This window comes from Homo sapiens, chromosome 12 (assembly GCF_000001405.40).
Source record: "Homo sapiens chromosome 12, GRCh38.p14 Primary Assembly".
Taxonomy (NCBI): domain Eukaryota; kingdom Metazoa; phylum Chordata; class Mammalia; order Primates; family Hominidae; genus Homo; species Homo sapiens.
In genome coordinates, this window is record NC_000012.12 from 62,240,241 (window position 1) to 62,267,077 (window position 26,837).

The 26,837-nt window shown below is 36.7% G+C and overlaps 2 protein-coding genes and 1 non-coding gene across 18 annotated transcripts in view, besides 9 other annotated features; 2 read left to right on the plus strand and 1 right to left on the minus strand.

The window, feature by feature from the left end:
- Window positions 1-19,794, minus strand: part of TAFA2 (TAFA chemokine like family member 2) — a 551,762-nt gene extending 531,968 nt beyond the window's left edge. The window contains exons 1-2 of the mRNA XM_024448962.2: window positions 19,239-19,794; window positions 18,523-18,602 (exon numbers count right to left, since the gene is read on the minus strand). Coding sequence (XP_024304730.1) covers window positions 18,523-18,602; window positions 19,239-19,304 — 146 coding nt within the window. The 5' untranslated portion in view covers window positions 19,305-19,794. The remainder of the gene's footprint in view (window positions 1-18,522; window positions 18,603-19,238) is intronic.
- Window positions 19,420-19,489: an enhancer, noted in NCBI's record as "active region_6576". NCBI's record gives its function as "activates an Ori minimal core promoter by ATAC-STARR-seq in GM12878 lymphoblastoid cells {active_cell/tissue: GM12878}" and the evidence as "EXISTENCE:reporter gene assay evidence [ECO:0000049][PMID:35858748]".
- Window positions 19,750-19,809: a silencer, noted in NCBI's record as "silent region_4604". NCBI's record gives its function as "represses an Ori minimal core promoter by ATAC-STARR-seq in GM12878 lymphoblastoid cells {active_cell/tissue: GM12878}" and the evidence as "EXISTENCE:reporter gene assay evidence [ECO:0000049][PMID:35858748]".
- Window positions 19,890-19,999: a silencer, noted in NCBI's record as "silent region_4605". NCBI's record gives its function as "represses an Ori minimal core promoter by ATAC-STARR-seq in GM12878 lymphoblastoid cells {active_cell/tissue: GM12878}" and the evidence as "EXISTENCE:reporter gene assay evidence [ECO:0000049][PMID:35858748]".
- Window positions 20,040-20,399: an enhancer, noted in NCBI's record as "active region_6577". NCBI's record gives its function as "activates an Ori minimal core promoter by ATAC-STARR-seq in GM12878 lymphoblastoid cells {active_cell/tissue: GM12878}" and the evidence as "EXISTENCE:reporter gene assay evidence [ECO:0000049][PMID:35858748]".
- Window positions 20,119-20,214, plus strand: MIR6125 (microRNA 6125). Its single transcript, NR_106740.1, has one exon. It is a non-coding gene; the product is annotated as a microRNA 6125 (primary transcript).
- The window catches only part of USP15 (ubiquitin specific peptidase 15), a 155,986-nt gene continuing 149,312 nt past the window's right edge, over window positions 20,164-26,837 (plus strand). For all 16 annotated transcript variants that reach the window (NR_147078.2, NR_147079.2, NR_147082.2 and 13 more), the window contains exon 1: window positions 20,164-20,263. Coding sequence is in view for 5 of the 16 variants with exons in the window: in NM_001252078.2 (NP_001239007.1) it covers window positions 20,175-20,263 (89 nt within the window). In the remaining 11 variants the exon portion in view is untranslated. The remainder of the gene's footprint in view (window positions 20,264-26,837) is intronic.
- Window positions 20,620-20,669: an enhancer, noted in NCBI's record as "active region_6578". NCBI's record gives its function as "activates an Ori minimal core promoter by ATAC-STARR-seq in GM12878 lymphoblastoid cells {active_cell/tissue: GM12878}" and the evidence as "EXISTENCE:reporter gene assay evidence [ECO:0000049][PMID:35858748]".
- Window positions 21,393-21,893: an enhancer, noted in NCBI's record as "H3K4me1 hESC enhancer chr12:62655414-62655914 (GRCh37/hg19 assembly coordinates)". NCBI's record gives its function as "activates a minimal SCP1, AML or CMV promoter by ChIP-STARR-seq in primed H9 embryonic stem cells {active_cell/tissue: H9 hESC(primed)}" and the evidence as "EXISTENCE:reporter gene assay evidence [ECO:0000049][PMID:30033119]".
- Window positions 21,894-22,394: an enhancer, noted in NCBI's record as "H3K4me1 hESC enhancer chr12:62655915-62656415 (GRCh37/hg19 assembly coordinates)". NCBI's record gives its function as "activates a minimal SCP1, AML or CMV promoter by ChIP-STARR-seq in primed H9 embryonic stem cells {active_cell/tissue: H9 hESC(primed)}" and the evidence as "EXISTENCE:reporter gene assay evidence [ECO:0000049][PMID:30033119]".
- Window positions 23,939-23,988: an enhancer, noted in NCBI's record as "active region_6579". NCBI's record gives its function as "activates an Ori minimal core promoter by ATAC-STARR-seq in GM12878 lymphoblastoid cells {active_cell/tissue: GM12878}" and the evidence as "EXISTENCE:reporter gene assay evidence [ECO:0000049][PMID:35858748]".
- Window positions 24,620-24,799: an enhancer, noted in NCBI's record as "active region_6580". NCBI's record gives its function as "activates an Ori minimal core promoter by ATAC-STARR-seq in GM12878 lymphoblastoid cells {active_cell/tissue: GM12878}" and the evidence as "EXISTENCE:reporter gene assay evidence [ECO:0000049][PMID:35858748]".

The window sequence follows — 26,837 nt, forward strand, 5'->3', positions numbered from 1 at the left end:
AAACCCTGTCTCTATTAAAAATACAAAAATTAGCTGGGCGTGATGGTGTGCACCTGTAATCCCAGCTACTCTGGAGGCTGAGGCAGGAGAATCTCTTAAACCCAGGAGGCAGAGATTGCAGTGAGCCGAGATAGCGCTATGGCACTCCAGCCTGGGTGACAGAGCAAGACTCTGTCTCAGGGAAAAAAAAAAAACTAACAATAATTAATTTACTGTATAGTAAACTTAATGTAGTTTGTTGTATGGTTTATAATTGTAATGCTCACATATGCTTTTAAATTATTATAATGTATTATTTTTGCTAGTATTATTTTTATTAATATTATCACTAAGTCCCAAGATAAAGCCCTTGGGAATCATGACAACTAGTTGAATGAATAGATTCCATTCAATTATTTTATTCAAATTTTGGCATCTACAATGGTTGACCAGAAAAATAGCATCCATTATAGAATACATCCAATAAAGCAGGGGTTCCCAACCCCCAGGCCACGGACCGGTAGCAGTCCATGGTCTGTTAGGAACCAGACTGCAGAGCAGGAAGTGAGCAGTGGGCAAGTGAGAGAAGCTGAGGTCCACCTTCTGTCAGATTAGCGGCGGCATTAGATTCTCATAGTAGCATGAACCATATTGTGAACGGTGCATGGGAGGGATCTAAGTTGCATGCCCCTTATGAGAATCTAATGCCTGATGATTTGAAGTGAAATAGTTTCATCCCAAAACTATTCTCCCACCCAAGTTTGTGGAAAAATTGTCCTCCAGGAAACCAGTCCCTGGTGCCAAAAAAGGTTGGGGACCACTGTTTTAAAGGCTTATTCTGTCTACTTTTGCAACATGTTATATAAACTCCTTGAGGAAGTATGTCTGATTTCGGTTTTGGTACCAACCAGCACCAAACACAGAACAGTAGAACTCATTTCTAGGCTCAGACACTCCCTTTGCAGCACATGAGGAGAGTTGCAGACCCAGAATCAAGGGTAGTTAAGCAAGCAGCAAAGATAGGAAATACTAGCAATTGTTATTTGGACTGTAACTATCCCTATTTTTCTTTTGATGCCATAAAACTAATTTTTCTTGGCTGCTAATCAAAGAAAAGCATGACCATTATAGCAGCCAAGCATTTCTCCAGGAGAGGTAAATGTAATTCTCAGATTCAAGAAGTTTTTAGCTTGACCTCAACCTGAGTGGACTTACCAGGCAAATGATGGCTGACTCAGGCAGTCTGAATTTATAAGTACTATTGCATTTATTCGTTGCACTATAATTTCTTGTTTCCATTGTTGTGTAATATTTTAGCCAGTAAATAATACTTAATTGGCTTCCTAATTATCAGGCATGGAGATCTAAGGTGGCTTTCATTGCAGAGTTGTTTTCTGACATAGGGACTTACAGATTGTAGGCTTGAATAAACCCTTGAAGATTTGTATGTTACCTACATTTGGAAATATTATAGCTAGCCAGACTTTTAATATTTTAAACTCTACATTCAAACATGAAAGAAAGAATGATTAATACTGACCTGCCACTGAATATGACCTTATCATCACATCCTATAGACTTCTAATCTCAGTTTTCTTCATTAAAAACAAGCACCTCATCAAAATTCCATGCAACAAACAAATATTTATTGAATACCCACTTACACAAGTCCCTGTGCTACATGCTTTAAGTGAGGTAAAAAAAGGATATTTTTAACAATTTGAAGGTCACCAGGCATAGATGAAGATAGTTAAGAGAGTTCATACTGAGCAGTGAAAGCCTTCCCCTCTTTCCTCTCTTTAACTTCAGAGAGAAGAAAAAAGGAAAATAAAGAGAATTCTAAGAATGATGACAAAGGAAATTACCAAGACAATAGCAAACATCAAAGCAGAGAATGCAATTAATTCAGACTAGCAGAAGGTCAGATGTGTCCAGTGTTGATGTTTCCAAAAAAGAAAATGGAACTGATAAATTATCTTAAAGTTTAGGAGTAATGAAAATTACACTGAGACATATTTTATGAATATTTTGAAAGTATGAGAAAATTCTAGCCAAATTCAAAAAACTAATAAATAAAAATTAAAAATCAAGCAATTATCAACTTAAAAAAAGAAAAAAGGAAAAATGAACAAGATAGAAGATAAAAGTATAGTTTAACACTTGGCTCAGCAGTGATAGATATTTGCATAGCCATAAGATGCAGACACAGAATAGAGATTTATTTGTTTATTAATTTTAGAGATGGGTCTCTGTCACCCATGCTGGACCACCACACTGGGTTGTTTTGAGATGAGGAGGTCTCACTGTGTTACCCAGGCTGGTCTTCAACTCTTGGCTTCATGTGATCCTCTCTAATAAGAAATTAAGGTACAATTACATAGAAGAGTGACAGAAAGGAATGACAAGATGTAGATAAGCTAAAGTTTTTATGTTCCCAAACAGGAAAACAACAGATGTCCATGACTGATAATCTAGAGATGGCAGTATGCACATATTATTTTTTAATGGAGATAAATATCTGATTAAGTTTTTGAAAAGCGGCAGCTTTGGCTGGGCATAGTCTATAAGGGTTAAAAAGCCAAGCTTCTTAGTTTGAGAAAATACAGTCCTTTGAAGTAAAATTAACATAGATGGAAGTATACATACCCTTGTAAACATAATCTATGAGTAATAGGAACTAACCAACTTTTAAAACTCCCATCAAAAACATTTTGTTAACAAAAGCACCTTTTTTCAAACCCAGATTCATTTAAACATCCTTTGAAATGAGCCATTGACCTGAAAATTGGATAACAATGTGTGTTTTACCAAATTGTTTGGAAAACTATAGCCTAAATTATTAAGATTTTAAGCCAGTTATTTAGATTTTTTAAATATTAAGCTGTTTAATATATTAAGAAAATGAAAATACCTGTAGTTATAAAAGATTTTCATGCTTTGAATAAGAAAGACCAGCTGGAAGCCAGTTTCTCATTACATATTTTTATATTGAGACAATGTTTGAATGTCAGGCTGCTCCACTTACTAACCTTACTGATAAAAGAAGCATGGCAGGAAAATGCTTTAATACTTATGATGCTGAACCTGCAATATAGCCCTAACAAATTTGGCTTTAAGAACTGCCTAATTACATATTTATAAATGCATGTTATGTATCTACTAGGCTGGAATGAAGCCCTATAGCCATTTCAGTTTATCAAGTAAATGAAGTAATTTTTTAAAAACATTATGCAGTTGATTACACAAAGCAACAATACATACTCATGACTATTTGTAAAGGCTACCACTTATGGACTGATTTTCTGTTTCATTGTGTGCTAAAATGCCAGGCACTTGAACCAGCAAAAACTAACTATATGCCAGAAAGCTGAGATGATGGCTCAGTAGCAATATTCTCTAATCACTACAGCTATTATTTAACATTCGCTGCACATTGGCAGCATTCTAATCATTTTATAAAATGACCCTGCCCAGTGAATTTACAGTTAACATCAAACAAAGTTAAGACACGAAAATGTCATTGAACCATTACAACATCTGCTTTTTATTCCTCTTCCAAGCTGTTTAACATTCTTTTTTGAGACAGGGTCTTGCTCTATCACCCAGACTGAAGGGCAGTGGTAGCATCATGGCTCACTGCAGCCTTGACCTCTCCAGCTCAAGCAATCCTGCCTTAGCCTCTCAAGTAACTGGGACTACTCTAGCTCCCAGGGCATGTGCCACCACACAGGGCTAATTTGTTTTGTCTTTTGTAGATGCAGGGTCTCACTATGTTGCCCAGGCTTGTCTCTAACTACTGGGTTTAAGCAGTCCTCCTGCCTTGACTTCCCAAAGTGTTGGGATTACAAGTATGAGCCACCATACCTGGCCTTTTTTTTTTTTTCTATCAGGAATGTATTGTATGCTCATTAAGAAAATTAAGAAAAACAAAGAAAACTAAAAAGAAAAAAAAATCATCCATAATCCATAGTCTATCATCTGAACTCAATCATTGTTATTTGGGGGTGTTTCTTTTGTCTTTTTTTTTTTTTTTGCATAATGTTTTATTTGGGGTTTACGGAAGAACAAAGATAGATATATAAATCATGCCACATATATATTATAGTTACATACACACACATGCATTTTTTTAATCTTTTCTATTTTAATAACACTGCATCAAGGCTTTTCCCATGTTATCATGCACTCCTTATGAAATAATTTTTAAGATGTGACAATTTATTGACCAAATATGCAACAGTTTATTAAACCATCCACAATCGTTTACTATTTGATTTACTTCCATTTTGCCAGAATAAATAATGCTCTAATCAGTATACTTGGGTATGTTTCCTTCTGGATATCTGAAGAAGTTTCACTACGGTAGATTCCAAGATGTAAAATTGCTGAGGCATGAGGTTGAAACATCTACAACTTTACTAAACACCAAATTGTCCCCCAAAGTAGTTTTTTTCTATTTATACTCCTATCAGCAGAGCATTAAAATTCTTATTGTTGCACAACCTCATTAACACTAGATAATGTCAAACTTTTAAAAAATTTGCCAAACTGATGGATGTGAAATGGTATCTCATTGCACTTTTATTTTGCCTTTTCATATTTACTAGTTTTGGTATGTTTATTGTCATTCAGGTCTCCTTTTTGGTAAATTTATCTATCTTTTGCCTATTTCTCTTTGTTTATTTTCTTACAATTTGTAGTAATTCCATTTTTTGTCAGTAATACTCACTTCAAATATCTTCTGCCACTCTGTGGTTTATCTTTAATGATATCTTACATTGTACAGAAGTTTTTCATTTCAGTATAGGCAAATTTGTCACTCTCTTACTTTAAGGTTGATATTTTATATCTCATAAAATAAAGCTTTCCCTACTCAGAGTGTATAAAAATATTTTTTTTCTAAAAATTTTAAGTTGTTTTTACATCTGGAATGTAATCTGTGTTTGATATGAAATCAAAATTACATTTTATTTTTTCCTATGGATATCTAGTGTCTCAGCACCACATAATGAATAGTGCAACATTTCTCCATTGCTTTGTAATGGAACCTCTGTTATATTTCAATTTCCTCTATATGCATTTATCTAATTGCAAGCTCTCAATTTCTTCCCTTTGTCCATCCCTTACTAATACCACAATATTTTACTTAATAGATAATTGATATTTGTGTGATCTTATGTTCAACAAGTTTGCCAAGTACTTTTACATGTCTGCAGATTATCTTGAATTTCCACATGGACATTGACATATTGTCAATAAATAGAGACAATTTTCCTCTTATCTCACAATTATGCTCTATTTTTATATTATTAATATTGTTTAGTATGACTTAGTTTTCTTGACCAGTTTTGTTGAAATATATATATACACATTTTTCTATGTAATACATATAAATATATATTATACATAAATATATAAAATGTATATTTTATAGAATATACATTAAAATATTTTTATAAATATATAAAAATGTAATTTTTATATATTTATATATTTTATTTATAATACATATAGATACATATATACATATTTATATATAAAGCAATATATATATATGCCTTTTCAAAAGATCAGATTTGGGGTTTTTTGATTCTTATTTTGGTTTCTGTTTTCTATTTTATTAATTTCTGTAGCTTATTCTGTTGTACTTTTTTCAACACCTTAAGATAAAATTTTAGCTCATTAGTTTTCATCTTTTCTTATATATATATAAGACCTTAAATATCACTCTTGGTATTGTTTTAGCACCAAATTACTTTTATTGTTATTCCTTTTTTTTTTTTTTGAGACGGAGTCTCACTCTGTCGCCCAGGCTGGAGTGCAGTGGCGCAATCTCAGCTCACTGCAAGCTCCGCCTCCCAGGTTCACACCATTCTCCCGCCTCAGGCTCCCAAGTAGCTGGGACTACAGGCGCCCGCCACAATGCCCAGCTAATTTTTTGTATTTTTAGTAGAGACGGGGTTTCACCGTGTTAGCCAGGATGGTCTCAATCTCCTGACCTCGTGATCTGCCCGCCTGGGCCTCCCAAAGTGCTGGGATTACAAGCGTGAGCCACCGTGCCCGGCCCACTTTTATTGTTATTCCTTTCTATATGCTATGTAATCTCTAACTATGATTTATTTTACCATGAACCATTTGGTTTAGTTTTCAAGGTGGTATTTACCACATGGACTGTTTTAGATTTGTTGAAATTTGCTTTATGATTGTACTACTCAATTTTTGTAAATATTTCATCATTATTTGAAATAACCTATATTCTTTAATTGGGCTGAAGAATCAATATATTATCATTAGATCAAGCTTGTTAATTATGTTGTCCTAATCTTCTGTATCTTTACTAATTTTTGCTTTATGAGTTTTTAAAACAGTTTGTCACTTTCTACTTGTAATTCTTTGTCTTTCTGCTTTATGTGTTTTGAGGTCATTTATTTAGAAACAAAAAGATTCAGAATGGTACATTTTCCTAATAAGCTGTTCTTTTTACCATTAGTGACTTTTTTTCTAATAAGTCTTTTTCCCTCAAAGTCTGTATTATTGATATTTGATTGATAGCAGATGTAAAGACAACTCTAAATTTTGATATGCCAGCAAAACCAGTATTCTTTCATCTTGCATTCCATTTGCCTGGCATGTTGTTTTCTATCCTCTTACTTTCAACATTTCTGTCTTTAAGATGCCTCTTATAAACAGCTTAAGGCTGTTTTGTTTTGTTTTTTTTAATTAGGTATAAGAACCTCTGATTTTTAACAAGTCAAATTAATCTATTTACATTTAATGTGAATATATTTGGCCTTATTTCTACAATCTTATATATATGTTTTCTATATGCTATGCCTTCCATTGCTTCTTTTTCCTGCATGCTGCTGTTATTGTTTCCTTGTCTGCCTTATATTAGATTGCTTAATTTACTGTATTATTTCCCCCTTCTACTCTTTTGAAAGTTTTTAACTCTTTTTTTAATCAGTGACCCTTAAATTTTTAACATGCTTGTCTTAAGATCTAAAGTTAACTGATACTTCTATCTTATGTAAGTTGGAACTAATTCCTCGCCACCATTTTTTTCACAACAAAATCATTTATTATTGTGTAGTATTAAAGTTATAGAGGTGTAATGTCAAAACAGAATTGAGTAAACCCTACAGGTCAGTGAGAGCACTCTAATTCCACTTACTCTCATTCAACTTCTCTCAAAAACTATTATCACCAAACATTCTGAAAGTGCAGACATCAGCATTTGCCTTGTTCTTTCTTGTAGACAAGCTCCTCGAGTTTTCCTACTTTACTGTGCATTACAACTCATGTCATGTTCAAAGTACAAAACCGCATTTTTTTACTTTAAGGGCAAAGTAAGGAATTTTCAACAGTACCTTTGACTACACAACAATTTTCTAGATAGCTTTGGAACATAACCCTTACGTAGAATGTGACTTCACAGTGATATATTTTTTCCTTTTACCAGGCCAACTAGAAGATCCATAAACAATTAGATTTTTAAAAGAAAAGCTAAAATCTATACCTTGCAGGAATAAAAGTTACCTTGCAGATTCCCAAAGACCTATAATCAGGCAAATGACACATTCAGTTGTAAGTTTTAGTGTTCCCTTTATTTTGAGTGTTTTTATTCAAATAAGTTGCAACTTTATTGTTCAGAGAAATAGTCACTGAATTAAAATCAATGAAAAATTAGAAAGACTGTTTCTTTTTTTGAGTTTTTGAGTTTTTGTTTCTTTTTCTTTTCTTGGCTCTCCTTTTGATGCAGAATTTTTTGCTCTTTAGTTCAGCTAAAATCTTGTTCTTGTGTCACAACCAGGAAAAATTAGGTACATGGACACATTGAAAGGTGAGGAGAGCAGAATTTATTAAAAGAAAGCTCTCAGAAAAAAGGCGGTCCTTTCAACAGGCTTCCACCTCACAGACTGAATACCAGGTCACCACACATGAGCTGAAGAGGCCAGGCTTTGCCCAACTTTATCAGGTGTGGATTCCAGGTGGGTCCACCCCATTGTCCCAGTGCAGGGGTGGGCCCTTAGTTTGAGCCACTCCATATTGATTTATTTCCCTTACTAGGCATGTGTTAAGGGACAGAATGTCTTTGAACATGACACATGAGTTGTAATGCACAGCAAAGTAGGAAAACCCAAGGAGCTCGTCTATACATACAACGCATGTGTTAAGGGACAGAATTTTTCACTGTGGGCACGTTTAGGTAAGCTCCCTGTGCACAATGGCCTGGGCAGCATTTGGCTGTCTCCTTCTCTATCACTTTTATGAGGTGTATAACCTTTTTAAAAATGTGTAAAACTTATTATTTTACTGTATTGTGGCAAGAACACTTAACATGAGATCTCAACACATTTTTAAGTGTACAGTAAATTATTGTTGACTATAGGTACCAAGTCGTCAAGCAGATCTCTAGAGCTTATTCATCTTGCTGGACTTAATGCCTGTTTATTACCAGCTCTCCATATCTCCTTCCACTCCATTTACTTTATTTGTTGAAATTATTTCCCTTCAAATTCTTTTTTATTTTTAATTGCGGCAAAATATATATAATAAAATTTACTAACTTAAACATTTTTAAGTGTGTGATTTAGTAGTTAAGTACATTAACATTGTTGTGCACCCAGTCTCCCAAACTCATCTTGCAAAACTGACACTCTGTACCCATTAAACAACAACTACCCATTGCTCCCTTCCCTCAGCATCTAGCAATCATCATTTGAGAAAATGGCTCAGAGCAGTCTGAAGAATGTGAGAGATGCAAAATTATCAGGCCCAGACAGCAGTGAGCATGATACTTCAGTCGCATCCCCCACACCCATGCCCCAGGGTAATTGTTTAAAAATTTTTTTTTTTCATTCCTTCCCTGTGGTTTCAGACTAGCTGATAAATTACCTAAAATGTTACCACACATTGCACAATGTGACCCTCACCCAGTATCTTCATGTTCCTGGAATTTGTGATAGAAAGAACAATGTACAGCCAATTGATAGACTGTTATTTTTTAAATTCTTGGTAAACAACTTAGGGACTGCTCCCTCCTTTTTTTTCCTAAAAAAAAAAAAAAAAAGGAAAAAGACCACTTGTAACTGCTGTTAATCAGAGCATATATTGAGGGCAACTAGAATCTGATTTCCAGGCTGCAGTCCTCACCTTTGGCTTAAATTAACTCTCTACTTAATCTGTGTCCTTCAAGAATAGCTTGATGCCATCCTTGTGGTAATGAGTAAGTTCTTACTCTATTAGTTCCCATGACAGTTGATTATTAAAAAGAGCCTGGCACCTCTCCCCACGCTCTCCCACTTTTCCTCTCTCACCATGTGATCTTTGCATATGCTAAATGTGCCTCAGTTTCTTCCTCTTTGCCTGAGATTCTTCCCTTAGGTCAAAATTTCTGGTGTAGTCAGCAAGATTCAGAGCAACCTTCCAAATACCCATTGTTCCCTCTCAGACTCAGTGCTCAGTACCAGCAAAAACCCATTGCATTCTTCCAACACCAGATATTTCGCTGGGTGCAAAAGTGTGAGGTCTACATTTTATGTGGGCTTCTTTTTCAAACTCTCTTTTTTCTTTAAGAGCAAGAGTTTCCATCTCCATCTCTAAACAGGAGATTCAGACAAAGAGCCCTGAAGAGAATTTTTGCCCTCTCCACCTGTGCCTCACAGCGGGTTTGGATTACAGTATTGGCAGTCTAGCAAGGGTGGTTTCACTTTTTTGGGGGGCCTAAAATTAAGTAATGTCTTAGTCCATTTAGTGTTACTCTAAAGGAATACCTGAGTCTGGGTAATTTATAATGAAAAAGGGTTTATTTGTCTCAGATTCTGATGTCTGTAAAAGTTCAAGATGGGGCATCTGCATCTGGTGAGAAGCACTCATGGTGGAAGGCAGAAGGACTTCTTTTAGCAAGCATCAATATGTTGTAAATTCAGTCTCTTTAAAAATAACTCTTTATTTCCCTTCGTCTTGAATACTTTAACTGAATACAGAATTTTAAGTTAACAGTAATTTTCCCCTTGGCACTTTGAAGATGATATTCTGGCATATATTTCTGGCATATACTATAACTGATGATAAGTTTTCTATCCAATGCTTCTATCTAAATCGCATTTTTAAAATAAGGAACTATCTTTTCTTTTTATATTTAAGATTTTTCTCTGAGTTCATATTTTTATGTTCATGAGAATGGGTCAAGGTATTTATAGTTATGCATGTATATGTATGACTTGTTTTATTTTTATTGTTCTTCTCAAACTCATTATAATTTCTGTACATATAGATGTGTGTGGGTGTGTATGTGTGTGAGTTTTGTTCTTATTAAATTCATTGTAATTTCTGAATCTAAAAACTAGAGGTTTTTTTCCATTCTGGAAAAAAAATAGGTATTATGTCTTTGAATATTGCCTGTTTATTTTTTATTCTGGAACTCCTATTAAACATGTTGGGTTTTGGCCATTCTCTATGTATCTTAACTGTTCTTCCATATTTTCATGCTTTATCTTTCTGGCAAAGCAGTATATTAGAGAAATTTTCAGCAAATGATTACTCCCTTCCCCTCTCCTACAGAAGGAATGTACTTCCCTGATATTAATTGAGGTCTTGCATAGTTAGGCTTGTCTCTTGATCTCTTTTTGCAACGAGAACATGACTCAGCTAGCCTCTGGTTTAAAGAGGATGAGAGATATGTGGAACAGACCAGGACCTGACCTAATCCTCAGAGAGCAGCTGAGTCTCGCCAAGACCAGCCAATCTCCAGCTAACCCAAAAATGCATGAGTAGGAAATATGCGTATATTGTTGTATGGCACTAGGACTTTGGGTGTTTTGAAAGTCAGAAAAATTGGGCTGATTCAGAATTTGATGTATAAAGTACAGTGCTGCCATAACTAAAACCCAAAATATGTGGCACTGGCTTTGGGAATGGGCAGCAGGTAGTCATGTAATTGTTATAGGAGGCTGGAATAATGACAACAGTATTATGCAGTGGCAAAACATTTGGTAAAATTGTCACCTGCAATACTATGGAATACAGAACATGCAGATCTAGTAAACTTGTGAATTTGGATGAGGTGATTTCAAAGAAGAATATTGAAGAGCAGGCTGCTGCCAGGTGCCTTTGAAAAAGCATAAGAAAGTGGTGAGCTCAAAATGAACTGCCTGGGTTACAAACAGAATTGAGAGGAAATAGAGAGTTTAGAAATACTGAAAGTTGTAGGCTTAAAAATGAAACTGTTTCTCAACATGTCCCCAGCTCAAAGAAAAAGTAAATTTTGGCCACTGCCAGGGTAAAGACCAAAACAAGGGTGTGGTGCAGGCCCAAGTGCCCTGAAAGCAGACTCTGAGATGGAAAATAGCCTGTAAAGAAGTGCTCTCAGGATCAACACTTGTGGAAGAAAGGAAGCAAACAAGATTGAGCAGAGAAAGAAAGTGGGCTGTAATTAATTTATAAAAAGAACTTAACCAACCCACTGAAGCTAGATTGCTCCTCACAGTTGTTTCCAATAGAGGAAATGAAGCCAAGTCTTTAAAACCCTACATCAATTAGTTATTGCACACTGGCTGCCCCCTGAAGAGAGCATGAACTACACAGGGTGCCTCTTTTCTATTGAGAGTGATTCCCAAAGAAGACTGACAGCTGAGATCAGTAGAAATCCCAGCAGCTAGAGGAATAAATTCTTTAGTCATGAAGGATGATGTTAATGGCACAGTAGATTATCCAATTCAATTCACCCCATGCTCCACTCAGACCTTTATTTTTGCAAAAGTTTTTGAAGCAGCTCCAGAACTTGGGAAGAAAGTTAGCGAGATACATAGATTCCATTGCAAAGACCAAAAGTGATACTCAATATATGCTTCCTGATCTACCATTCTAGAGTTTCCTCACCTTGACTAGCTCCTCTGCTGGTCTTGTTGGCTTACCTGGTGGGATGATCCAGTCACTCATCCTTGAGAGTCACCATACCTTTCTCAGGTCATCAATACTTTACTAGTCAATTTACTGTCAAAGTTGTGCAAGGGCATACCAAGAGATGCCAAATACATTCCTTTTTGCCATCACTGTATAAGAGCAGCCTGACCTCCTCCCAGTATTTAGAATGATAAACCTGCCAGGATGGTGACTGCTCTCGTTGCCTGATCCTTTGGCAGTAGAAGGCAGAAATGCCCCAGTGACAGCCATAGTTTAAAGTTCACTGGGCCTCTTGCTGTGTCTCCTGGTGGAAATGCTCACCTTTTGGGAACAATACCTCTAAACCTACAAATCTCAGAGCTATGGAGATGAGTAGCACAAAATCCCCAATTGGGTCACTGACAATGATGGTAAACAGGACCACCTCTACTTCTACATTTGATTCCCATATCCATAAATTCTATTTGCTGGGAACACAGCAACATATGCTGGCCATTGATTCAGAGGGTATACTGCATAGGGTATTATTGTATCTAAGGTGGTGCTTAAGCTGATTCTTCAACAGGCCATTCCGTTGCTCTATCCGGCCGGCAATTGTTTACAGTTCTGGGTGAAGTGTTATGTGAAAGAATCAGTGAATCACATGGTCACGTGCTCACTACCACATCTCTTTTGCAATAAAATGAATCCCTTTGTTTGATGTGATATTGGGAAGATCCTGTGTCATGAGATCAAACACTCCATAAGTATGGTGGAAGCAGCTGAAGCACTATTGGCAGGAAAGGAAAATCCATACCTGAAATATGTGTCAATTCTAATCAAGATGAATCATTCATTGCCCCTTACATAATAGAAGGGATCCATGTAATTAACTTGTCATTTGATTCTCCTCCATGGATGATTCTATATCAAGGGCTCAATATTGGTCTCTGTTCCTGACAGGTTGGACATTTGGCAGCAGCAATAGCCAAATCACTGTTGGTAAGTGAGAGCTCATGCTGTGGGGCCATCCACAGTCATGATGACTACCCTTCTTGTGCCCATTGTTCCAGCTTTGAGGATAGAAGCTTGTTGATGCCAACCATTGGAGTCATTCTGTTTATTCAGTACCTCTTTTGTGATATATCCTTTATGGTTGGTGTTCACTTGTAATGCAAAAATCTTTACACTTTGTGCCGAGTCCCATAGGTCCATCCACATACTTTCTCATCAGACTTCCTAGTCCTAAACTTTCTAACATTTCTTCTTCCTTAAAGTAGGCTCTTCTACTACTTATCACTGCTATAACAAATTACCATAAACTTAGTGACTGAGACAACAGAAGTATTGTCTCTTACATTTCTGTAAAAGTCTGACACAATTCTTACTGTGCTAAAAATCAAGGTTTTAGCAAGGCTCTGATCCTTTCTGGAGGCTTTAACAGAGAATTCATTTCCTTGTTCCTTCTAAATTCGAGAAGCCTTCCACATTCCTTGGCTCATGGCCCCTTTATTCCATCTTCAAAGCCATTCTTCCATAGTCACATCACTCTCTGGCCATAACCAGGAAAGTGTCTCCTACTTTTAAGGATTCATATGATTAGATTGGACCCAACTGAATTATTCAGGAAAATCCCCCCATTTCAAGGTCCTTAATTTTAATCACATCTGTAAAGTCCCTTTTGCCATTTAAAGTAATATATTCACAAGTTCTGGTATTACGATATAGTCCTCTTTGGGGAGCCACTCTTCTGCCTTCCATGATTTAAGTCCACATGGCAGTCTAAAATATGTCTTTGATCTGTTATGTATCTATGTTTGTGGTTACAGAACATTCACAAGCATTTAAAAATATTCTTTGCACCATATTCTTCCAACAGCTTCCAAATACATTGTTTTATCCCTAAGAATACCTTCACACAAAAGACTGAGTAAAGCTACACTTTAAATATTATCCTTCTTAATCTCTTTGTAATTGTGTTTCTTTGATATGGGTCACTACTAATTTTAACACAGCTGTTTATGTTATTACATAACAACTTTGTGATCTTATTAATTTGTTTATCTTATTATTAAAATCAAATTTAGTAGCTGCTCTGGTCTAAGGGAGGCAAATATTTTATAAATCATTACTACTATATGTTAAGCTCTAATATGAGTTTCACATTCATTATTTTATTCACCTTTAAATGAATCCTATAAAAGAAGTCTAGTATCACTATTTTACAGATGAGAAAACTAATGTTTCCAGTATCACAGAACTAGTTAAGTATCGGAGTAGGGCATACAAATATAGGTCTTTTTGACTCTAAAATGCATACTATTTTCACTATATCCTTAATAAATTCCCATTGAGTAAATTAAATTATTTGTAGAGGTATACTATACATCCAGCACATTTCATGAATTTCTCATGCTGTAGAAATCATGTCCAATGTATTACACAGAAGCCTTGGGCCACTAATAATTCTTGAACTGACATAGTTCAAGACGACCTAGATAGAAGCATACTGGCTAGAAACAAAAATCAATGGTAAATATTTTTATGAAATCACTAGACTTGTTTTTTACTTCATTGTTGGTATCTTCTAATTTGACCTAAATCTACTGTGTGGTCTATAGTGTCCTGTTGCTTAGCAAAACCTGGAACACATTATAAAGAATACCTATTTAATGTTTCCATCAGTCCTGAAACATAGATACATTCTTGAAGACATGCTATTATATTGTTCTAAGACTCTTTGTGAGCAATTTAAATCCTTTTGCCATCTCAGCCCAAATGAAGTGAAGGGTTGTCCAAACAGAAAGTCTGAATAATTCAGCTTCTCTTGGGAGAAAACAAAGTTAATCTCTCTGGAATCTATATAGCTGCAGAATCACTGGACCATTGAACAACTCTCTACTTCACTTTGGTAGTATAGATTTCCAAGATCCATGAGCATAAAATAATTATTTTTAAACTTTCGAATGAAACAGATTTAAAGTAAAACGGATCAAGTATATAACATTAACGTATTTTAATTAAATTTGACATTTAAAACAAAAGATCAGCATATTTTTAAATGAGTATAAAAATTTAAAAATGATCAGCATATTTGAAATGATTTTTAGCTTTCTAAAGTCCATCCATTATTATGAGGCTTAAGAAAGACTTCAGAGGCTGCTTAAACATTTCAATATTTTCATGTAGAGGTTCTTTATCAACCTTGAAATCTGTCAATAAATGTAAATAACAAGAAAATATAAAGTAGGCAGATTTTTCCTACTATGAACCTTGATTTTATCTATATCACTCTTAGTTGAATGGGATAAATTAACACTTTCTTGAAAGTTTCCTACCATACACGTACATTTAATTTTTAAATATTCAGGACCTGCAGAATATACTATGCCTATTAAGGTTTTTTTATTATAATTATAGACCTGTTAGATACTTGATTTGCTTATCAATTCAAATCAATTTAGTTCTGGCCAGGCACAGTGGCTCATGCCTGTAATCGCAGCACTTTGGGAGGCTGAGGCAGGTGGATCACTTGAGGTCAGGAGATCGAGACCAGCCTGGCCAACATGGTGAAACCCCATCTCTACTAAAAATACAAAAATTAGGCTGGGCATGGTGGCACATGCATGTAATCCCAGCTACTCAGGAGGCTGAGGCACGAGAATCTCTTGAACTTGAGAGGCGAAGGTTGCAGTGAGCGGAGATCATACCACTGCACTCCAGTCTGGGCAACTGGAGAGTGAGACTCTGTCTCAAATAAATAAAAACAAATCAATTTAGTTCTATTAGCATGTAGTGAGAGTCCACTATAGGGCAGACTGATATCAAATTTCATGGTATAGTCAGCTTTCTAGTACACTTTATGTACTTCTTAAAAAGAGGATAGGCCAGGCACGTGGCTCATGCCTTTAATCCCAGCACTTTGGGAGGCTGAGGCGGGCAGATCGCCAGAGGTCGGGAGTTTGAGACCAGCCTGGCCAGCATGGTGAAACCCTGTCTCTACTAAAAATACAAAATTTAGCCAGGCATGTTGACAGGTGCCTGTAATCCCAGCTACTCAAGAAGCTGAGGCAGGAGAATCGCTTGAACCCGGGAGGCAGAGGTTGCAGTGAGCCCAGATCATGCCATTGCACTCCAGCCTGGGCAACAGAGTGAGACTCCATCTCCAAAAAAAAAAAGGATATAAAGTAGGAACCTAGATTAATTAATTTGTAGACCTTATGCCCATGCTAAAATTAAACTTTCTAGATCCTATAGGACAGAAAATATAATTTTGTTTGCTCTAATTTTTTTAAATTTAGACCTTTAATTGGGATAGACAGCTCAACAGTCCCACAACTCCTTATTATCCCCAACAGATTTCCTTCACCCATTTACATTAGCTGTATCTAACCCCTGCAAGTATTTGAGTTTCAGCCTCCGAAATCTAATCACTTTATTTTATAATAAGAAAACGAATGGTCACAGAGAATAAATAACTTAGCCAAGGTTACCAGCTAGCAAGTGGCACTGAGCCAGAGTCAAAATCCAAGTATAGTGGCTCTTTGTAAAAGGCAGTGTTTTCATCTTACTATATTTTCATTCTCTTTTTCAGAACCTAACATTTGTCTGAAATAAGGACCCTCCGTAATTTTTTTTAGCTTTCAAAAGTGCCTCGTGGCACTTACAATTTTTATTCATATCCCAAGTTTCAAAATATCATTAACAGATTAAGCACTTTACTACATGCTATTTTGGTGTTTGCACTACTCCCCCGCCTTTCCACTGCCTTTTAGCTGCTCTGAGAGCTGGTAAAGAGAGACGAGAATTATACAATTACATAAGATAAAAGAATGAAAGGTTTAGAGAGGTGAGTAAGAATGAGGGGGTGGTAGGGTCGTGGGCGGGAATAACTGTAGAGGAAGGACAAGGAGAAGGAAAAACTGAGACAGTGGTTCCTGAATATCAAAGACAGGAAGAGTTGAGAAATAAAGACAGCCAGTCATCAAACACTGTTCTTTTATGGGATGTGCTGATTCTGTGTGTGTGTATGTACATGTGTATATATATATACATATATATGTGTGTGTGTGTGTGTGTGTGTGTGTGTGTGTGTGTGTGATTTGCTAAGTCCACTCAAATTTTAGGCAGATTTTTCCCTTAGGCTCATGTAGCCAGTCCCACAAAAAATTATGAAATAGGCAAAACTTATCTTGAAATTCTCCTTTGTACTTTCTTCCATTAAACTGTATTACAAAATGCAGTGCTTTTTTTCTCTGGTTCACCCCAGGCTGAAAACTGGCTCTCTTTGACACTTTAGTTTTAAACCTAACTCTCTCCTGGAGTATTTACATTTGAAGTCCCATCTCTTAATTGTTGAGTAAAAGAACCTCTCTTAAAGGAATTGTTTAAATATCAGTAAGCAGAGAGGTTTGGAATTACTAGAGGGTAAAGGAATCCTTCCTAGAGAATCTCTAATTTCACAACCAACTGTGACTTTAAGAGGTCCAGCTTGTTCATATCTAGCCTAAGTACTCAGCATACTCAGCTCTCTAGGTTACGTTTTAAATTGACAAAAAAGGTACAGAGAGTCTGAGAAGGCAATAACAATCACCAAGCAAACTGGTACATTCATCAAAAGTTAACTAAGGAATGCATCAGTGAAGACATTCATTCTAAATAAGCAGATATAATCCCTGATTTATATTCAATTATTGGTGATTAAGGTGAAGTAGCTTTTCTCATCAATTTATCTACTTAATTATTCAGTAGGGATGTGGACTTTAACCAATTTATGAACAATATCTTATTTCTCTTCATAATTGAGAGAAGCACCAGTAAAATAAGCAGAATTTCCATAAACTGATCAACTGAGATCACTAAAACGTTGATTGCTGTAAACAAAATAATAAAGGTCAATAGAAAAATTGAAGTTTACCCAAACTTTCCAGATTCTGCAGCCAGACTGCCTGGTTTCAATTTAGGTTCTGCCACTTACTTGCCTCAATTCCTTATCTATAGACTTGAAATAATAATAGTACCAAAATCATGTGATTGCTGTGAGAATTAAGTTAGTATTTTAAAGTGTTTAGAACCATGCTAGGCACTCTGTAAGTGCTTGCTAAATAAAATACTATAATTTTATCTCTTTCCTGACTCTGATGGCAGTTACTTAGGTCTACAAAACGGCTCCATAAATCTGATGTATAATTCAAATTGGCATTGAATTTACACGTCTATATCCAGTTAACCTGCTGCCTTGAGCATGGTGCAAGTGAAGAAAATATTATTTTACTTCATTGTATGGTTGTAGCTGTCAACACTTCAAAAATGCATTTTCTCTTAAGGGAAAGTGGACATTAGGGTATAAATGATTTATTGCTACTTGGTTATGTTATGTTTATACAATGAAGGAGAGCACAGTTTTGCCTTCAAAGCCCCTAACACCTTTTTTCAATAGCTTTATTGAGGTATAATTCACATACTGTACAATTCACCCTGTCATCAATAAACAATACTAGTGTTTATTGAATGGCTATTACGTCCCAGGCAATAAACACAAATTGTTTCATTTAATCTTCATAAAAATCCCTTAAGGTAGGTATTATTATACTCAATTTTATGATTCAATTAAAGGGCAAGAACTTTGCAGCTAAAGGTTGAAGTGAGGTTTGAACTTACATCCATGTAGCTCCAATATATGTTTTCCATATTCTGCAGCTTCCCTTCAGAAAATTACTTTGTTCTCTTTCAGAGAGTGACTGGAAAAAGGGGGAAAATGTGACTTTTAGAGGGTAGCCGTGGTTAGAGAAACTCTTAATCTTTTAACCTGTCAGGAGAAAAGCCAGAAATAGCAGTCACTGAAAGTTGTTTTAAAACTCTCAATTCAAGGTTGGCATGATAATGCAAAATAGTATTATTACGCAGAAATAAGCAATCATAATCATAATACTGATATACACAAATCATAATGCCAATATACACTACTTTCACTTGGATTCAGCACTTCCTACTAGCATAACTACACCTACCTTTATCGCATTCTCACCAAATGAGTTAGGGTTTAAAATGGGCAAACGAGAAATGATGTGGGGATTCCGGCCCATCTTTTAGACTTTTCACATCAATATGGTATGTTAAAATCACACCCCTGGACATCATGCTCGGGAATACTTAAGTAATTTTGCCACAATTCATTTACTAAACAAATATTTAGGTAATTTTTACATGTCCATCAGTACTGTGCTAACCACCAGGTGTACAAAGGCTAAAACAAAAGATGAACCCAGTTCCAGCTCTTAAAGAGTTTACATTTTAGTTCAGGCTTTCAGAAGGAGAGGCAGTGAGTGTGCTATACTGTATAGCATGTGGGCTCTTGAACCAGCCTCTCCACTCACCTCTCCACCTGCTGTGTGACCTTGGCATTTGATTTTTAAGCGACTCGATTTTCTATTTTGTAACATAATCGTTGACTTCAAATTAAAGACATATCTAGTTTCATTTCAGGTGTACGGCACCATACGAAGATGGGGCTAAGAAAATGTTACTATCCTGTATAAACAAGAGGGTTTCTCGCACGTTTTCTTCCTTTAGTATCTGGCATTATTCAATACTGTCCATATTCTACTCCCTGTTCACCGATGAACTGGGACATGTTTTTCACTGCAGCTTAGTCGTCTGGGTGTGCCTGGGGAGGCGTCACAAAGAGCCTATAAAGGGTCCCCACCTACAACGGGAGTAAGAGCGCTGGAAGGAACCCAGGAAGGGCATGGAGACCAAGCGTTCGGTTTCGGAGTGTTTTTTGTGTGTGCCCATATTCACCGAGCTTGGGTTCTCCCACTCGTAACGAAAAGCCCAGTCACTGAGCTGCTACATTTTCTGCCATATCTTAGCCGTCCCCACGCCCCCACACCACCGCCCCACCCTACCTCACCCTCAAGCGTGAGTGAATGCGCAAATAAGGGTTTTCAAGGCGTCAGTGGGAAAGAGGGAGGGGAAGGCAACGCTGAGGACGGGAGGACAGGGCGGTGGCATCCCTCTAGCGAGAGAGAGCCAGAGCCCTCGGCGGCGAGGAAAGCTAAAACCCGGCAGTCCCGGGCCAGAGGAGGCCAAGGCAAGATGCTGGACGGGCGGGGACCGATGGGGGGCAGCAGACCATGGCCGCGCACCCAGTGCGCCCCCGGGGCCTCCTCTTGTCCCGAGGAGCACCCCCGCTCCCGGTGTCTTTTGGTTTCGACCGGCCGACTGGGAGGGGCCGTGGGACGCCATTCCCATAATGCTCTGGGGCGTGCCGCCGCCGTCGCTGCCACCTCCCCTACCGCTAGTGGAAGAAGATGGCGGAAGGCGGAGCGGCGGATCTGGACACCCAGCGGTCTGACATCGCGACGCTGCTCAAAACCTCGCTCCGGAAAGGGGACACCTGGTAAGAGAAAGGGGTTGAGATGCCCGCGGTTGCCCGAGGATAGTGGAGAAGTGGGCGGGAGCCGCGAGCTGGTTCTTTCGCTAGTGACAGGTGCGGGCAGGTCCGGCGGCGGCCGCCGGGGCAGCGGGATTTTGGCCGCTTCTGAAATGTTGGGGCAAAGGTTGGACTCTAGATGAGGGTCAGGGTTCTTGGCTTGCCAGGGCATGCTGAAAGGTATCCGGGGAGCGGCGGCGGCGGCGGTTCTGACTCGTGCGGTTCTCTTCGTCCTCCTTCCTTCCGTAGTGCCGCTCCCACCTCAGGCCTTCCCGAATGATAGGTTATAGTGGTTTGGTTTGAGTCTTATATACGCCGTTTTGACAGGTCCCGGTGCCGCGGCTTATCACGATCTCACCGGCTTTACTTCTCTGTTCATTTCCTTTCCTAGAATTGTCGGCGTCCAAGTTCCCTTTTATTCTGATTCTTGGTCTTCCGGGAGGCAGGCTGCAGGATGTTTGCGGTCTGTACTACACAGGTGGCATGTCAGGGCTCCACATAAGAGAAAGAAACCCTAGTTTCCAGTTCCTTGTCAAAGGAGGGAGAGGAGTAGGGAACCTTGGGCTTATGAGAGACCACGTGGTCTTGTGCTTTAGTGGTGGCTTGATAGAAGCCGGCAGCGTTTCTGTTAGACGTGCAGCCCTTCCCTTCTGTTTGAAAGATAATGTAGGCCTGCAAAAAGTAGATAAGTCCACTTGAGGCTTAACTAACTGCTAATATTCAAACTTGTAAAATACCAAAGGTTATACATTTAAAATACTGAAGGATGTATGTGGACATTTTCACACTTGTCGACCATATCAAGTGGCATCTACAATAACTTAAATATGTGAATATGTAACATAATTTAAAATTCCTTATTTTTTGGGAAGCATAATGTGCCTCTTCATTATAATAAAACATATTTTCACTTTCCACTGTTACCATAACAGTAGTATATAATTCATAGAGTGTTTCAGTATGGCATAGTGAAAGGAACAGTAAGATTTAGACCTGAGTTATGTCACAGTTTCACCACTCAACTTGCAGTATGGCTTTGAGGAGAGTTAATTTAAATCATTGCACCTCATTATCTTCATGCTGTAAAATGGACAGTAATTTTATTATAAGGATTTTATCTTGATTCGTTTTAATATCTTAAGAATTTCATATTTATGAGATATCAAATTTTAGTTATCCTCTTATCTCTGCTCTTTACTCCTGACAAAAGGCTGTGATATTGGGATCATTTTCAGTTAAGCTAATAGGTGGCAGACTTAGGACCTTAATTTAACCTTGATCTAAGTCTTAGTCTCTTTTTTCTTTTTTGGTAGGCTATATACTATGTTTGTATGATAGAAATCCCTAAGGATGTAAATACATACTTGTTTCATTATATCAAAAAAATAGAATCTTCAAGTGACTTAATAATAGTTATTGTTGGCCTGGCAGGGTGGTTCACGCCTGTAACCCAGCACTTTGGGAGGCCGAGGAGGGAGGATCACTTGAACTCAGGAGTTCCAGACCAGCCTGGGCACCATGGTGAAACCCCGTCTCTACAAAAATACAAAAAAATTAGCTGGGCATGGTGGCACGCCTGTGGTCCCAGCTACTCAGGAGGCTGAGGTGGGAGGATTGCCTGAGCCTAGGAAGCGGAGGTTGCAGTGAGCCGAGATCCGGCCACTGCACTCTAGCCTGGGCAACGTGAGACTCCATCTCAAAAAAAGAAAAAAAAAAGTTATTGTTTTTATTATAATGTTAGATGTTTATTACTGTGGGGAAATTGGACATTTCCTAGGACACCCATGTTTACCTTGGCTTGTGGTAATGACAAATAAGTCCCCGCTGGCTATTGTAAGTTAAAGAACATTTAAAAATTCTTAATTCACCCAACCTAGTACCACCTTATTTTAAAAAGTGAATTTCCTTAAAATAGAAATCTGTAAGTCTATAAGTTAAAATATAAGTGTTATTGTCTCTCATTAATGTCACGTTTTTGTATATAGAGTAATTGGTAGCATTGACACTACAGGATGATAGGAGCAATATGTGCATTGTGGGCGTTTAACTTTATGAAGTTTGGTATTTTCAAATAAGTATATTTTTGCTTTTTTACAAAATTAATGTAAATTGTTTTATATATGTGCGTGTGTGTGTGCGTGTATAGCTGTATAGGTACAGTGTCTCACTATATTGCCCATGCTGATCTTGAACTCCTGGCTTCAAGTGATCCACCTCAGCCTCCCAAAATGCTAGTATTACAAGTATGAACCATGACTAAATACAAGAGGCTCATAAATTTAAGTCATTTCAGTGCTTTTATTTTAAATAAAAGTAAACTGAGGGCCACATATTTAGATAAAAGCAGATTGTGCAAGTTTATCCTCACGTTAATTTTCTCTTAAAGGAAAAAAACTGCAAGAGAAAGATGGTACTGGGAGTTGCAGAAACCAGTTTGGTTTATTTGTGAGCCAGTTTATTTGCAAATTAGCAAGTGAAACCTGTCCAAAAACAAAGTAGTAGAGAGCAAAAATTTGATTCAGAATTTTAAAGAGAATAATTTGATAAGTATAAATTTGATGATGAACTTACAGGTACAGAACTGGTGGTGATATGTAATAATTTAGTTTATGTTTTTGGAACTCACTAGAAAGTTGTTTTTCCTTTTAATATCTTTTTTTAATCTTTGAATCAGGTTATTTGAAATTTGCCCTGTGGAATATTGTCGTGGCATATGTATGTAACTGTCTAGGAAAGACTGATTGGGCTGTTGAGAAAAAATGGTGGGTTTACCATAAGTTTATTCTTGAAAGTTTAATACACATGTCTGAAGTTATAGTCATATGCATCACAGTGAATAAATTTCATTTACTAGCTTTTGAGCACTTTGCAGATAATGACTGTCTCATGGTAACTCGGGTAACTAACTTCCATACCTAGGCAAGTATAAAGATTTATTTCATTCTGTGTAAGTACTACAGTTTCTCTTTATTTGTAAGCAGTGAATGATTTTTATCTAAAAACTGATTTTCTAGAGATGAAAATAAGTTACACAAGTGTGAGATGAAGAGAAACATACTTTATGATGTATTTAGTTCTAGACTTTATATTGAGAAGTAAATCAAAATTAATACGAGAGTAATACCTTTTTAAAAAGCAAGAAGAAGGTAGCACTGATTTGTATAAGGAATAAAGCAGTCTCAAAATGATATTTGTTGATCTGTGTTTCAATTTCAACAAGAGATCAGAAAAACACGAACAAAATTTAGAGTTTAGGAACTATAGGAAAGAGATAAATGAACTAGAATTGTATCGCTTAGGATGAATTAAAAACAATTTTCAGATACATGGTGGTTTCTTCTGATGAGACAAAAAGATAATTTGCTTAAGGTACATATGAGTATTTTAGGAACATATTTAAGGAATGGTAGTTAATGAGTTACAAAGAAAATTATGGGTTATAAAATACTCTCTTTGGAAAAAAAGTTTTTGAAACAGAGTCTCGCTGTGTCGCCCAGGCTAGAGTACAGTGCGTGGTCTCGGCTCACCGCAACCACCTCCAGGGTTCAAGTGATCCTCCCACCTCAGCCTCCGCAGTAGCTGGGCCTGCAGGCACATGCCACCACGCCCAGCTAATTTTTTATTTTTAGTAGAGACAGGGTTTCCCCATGTTACCCGGGTTGGTCTCGAACTCCTGGCCTCAAGTGATCTGCCTACCTTGGCCTCCCAGAGGGCCGGGATTACAGGTGTGAACCACCTGCAAAATTTCTGGCCTGGAAATTTTTAAAGAAATGGGCCTATTATGAGTAAGTAAAACATAACCACAAATCATCCAAAGCACTGCTTCGTTTCCACCATTTTTATTAAATGTTATTCATCTGCCAATCATTTTCAGTAATTTTTATGTGTGATTATGTTAAGTGGTAATGTGTAGTTAACTTTTGCAGTTTAGCAAAACATTGCATGCCATTTTTGTATAAACCCTAATAACTGTAGTAGGTAACTTTACAGAGTAAGTAATTTGTGTGTGAAGTCATTTAAAATCTCTGTGACATTTTCATTTCAATAATTGCCAAAGAATCTGATCAGTGAAGTTTTAGACAAGAGACATTGATTTCAGTTTTTAGAGCTTTCTGTCCATTCCGACTTTTACTTAGAAATCTTTGAGGCTTAATTTTATTTGATCCCTTATGTTCGTGCAACTTTGAAACTAAAAGAAAATAACCTTATACTCACAAATCCCTTAATAATGAAAAGGAACACTATTACTCAACATGAATTTCAAAATATTTAGTGTATACTTAAAGAAATTTTTATATTACTATTACTTTTAAAATTAGTTTCAGTAGTGCCAGGGTGTTTACGACCAGAGTAGGGTATATACTACATCATTTATAGGAAATGAAACTAAAAGGAAAAACTTCTTCAGTCTTGGTAAATTGGTGAAAACAAGGACAGAGATAGTGACCTTAAGGCATGTTTCACATCTTAGATGCTTAAAAATCTAGGAAAGCAACTTTTCTTAATTTAAGCCTTTTTCGTAAGTTTTTAAATGACTTCTGTTAGTGAGTCCAGGGTTAATGTACCCTAATAGTCCAGGAAGGTCCAGAGCTAGTCAATGATTTCGTTTATCTGTTTTGTGAAATTAAGGCTTTTTTTCCTAAATTATACCATTTTCCTGTTAGCACATATAAGGCATTAAATGACCTTTTTGCAAAATGGTTTTGTGACAGTTAACAATTTTGCTTCTACGTAAGTGTAACAAGATAAAATCAGTTTGTCAGGCCATGACCTGTAATATTACATTTAAAAACACTATGTGCCAGGTACTGTTATAAATGCATATTGACTTATTTACTCATCACCATATTACCACAATTCTGGGAATCGGTGTTATTCACATTTGACAAAATAGGAATCATAGGCTCAAAAAGGTTTTCACATAGTGGTATAGCTGGGATTTGAACCCAAGTAGTTTAGGTCTTTGGTTTGTGCCCTTAAAGCACTGTACCACATTGCCTCTGATTTTATTTAAAAAAATTTTTTCTAGAGACAGAGTCTCGCTTCATCACCCAGGCTGGAGTGTAGTGGCATAGTCATAGCTCACTGTAGCTTCAAACTCCTTGGCTCAAGCAATTTTCCTGCCTCAGCCTCTGAAATAGCTGGAACTACAGGTGTGCGCCACCACACCCAGCTAATTTTTAAAGTTTTTGTGGAGACGGGATCTTACTGTGTTGCCTAGACTGGTTTGAAACTCCTGACCTCAAATGATCCTCTGACTTCAGCCTCGCAAGTATTAATAGCTGGGATTACAGGTGTGAACCCCTATGCCCAGCCTCTGTCTCTTATTTTAAAGATTCATTTTTTAAAAAGTAGATTCACTTTAAAAAGAAAAGAACCTATTTTTCTTTTTAAAGGAAGTCTATTTTATATTTAGTAGCAGAATTCTACCATTTGCCTCTTGTGACTGTTCAGTTTAGATATGATAGAACATGTAGGAAATCTTAACACCTTGCTTCTGGATATTAAAACATGCTTAAAGATTGATAGGTGAATAATTGAATGTACAGAGCAAATGTCATTTTGATCCACAAGTACATTCAGACAAAAAAATTTGAGGTCATTTACTATTGAGCTTTTGAATTTTAATTGTCTATCAATAATCATAAGCTCTTATTAGAGATGATATGGCCCCTTCACATATAGTTTTACAGAAATAACCCATGAAGCATATAGTAAGATCTTGTAGGCTATTTTGTTTCGGTACTTGGTCCATATTTTAAAAGTATGGTATTGGTTTACTATAAGCCACAAATACATACGGCTTTCTTCTTGGACTTAAATCCATATGAACCACTCAGCACAGAAAATGCAAATATGAATGCATTATTATGTTCACCAACTGATTTTTTCCCTAGAGATAACTCTTAAAGAATTTTTGAAGTGAAAGAACATTTAAATTAAGATAGTGGAAGATACAATGATAATAAAACAGTCAATTTTGCTATCTTAGTCTTGAATTTATCTTATGATGTGAGTTTAGAGTGATTCTTCTTTTTTTCACTGAAAATCACTTCATTAATAAGTCATGATTATTGACAAAAGTAAATTGAAACCATTGGGCATATTGGTAGGGAAATAAGGGGAAGATAGAGAACAACTGATAAAGGTTGATTATGTGCATTACGAGATTTGATCCTCAAAAGAAGGACCAAAATATATATATTTATATGACTTATAGATGAGGAATCTGAGAGAAATTAATTTGCTTGCTCATAGTTTACTACCAGCGGACATTTATTAAATGCTTAGTCTGTCGCAGCCACTATTTTAAATGCTTTACACTTACATAGCCTTTAAAGTACATGCTCTTATTACACTTCATTTTATCTTTGATGATTTCAGAGCTGGTTTAAATACCTGGTTTATAAAGATTTAAAGTACTAGATACTATCTAATACTAAGAATAGATCCTTAGTATTAAAAATGGTTTTATGCTGTCACTACTCGAATGTAATTCAAACAATATTTCATTAAACCATGGGAATTTCTCTTTTTTCTT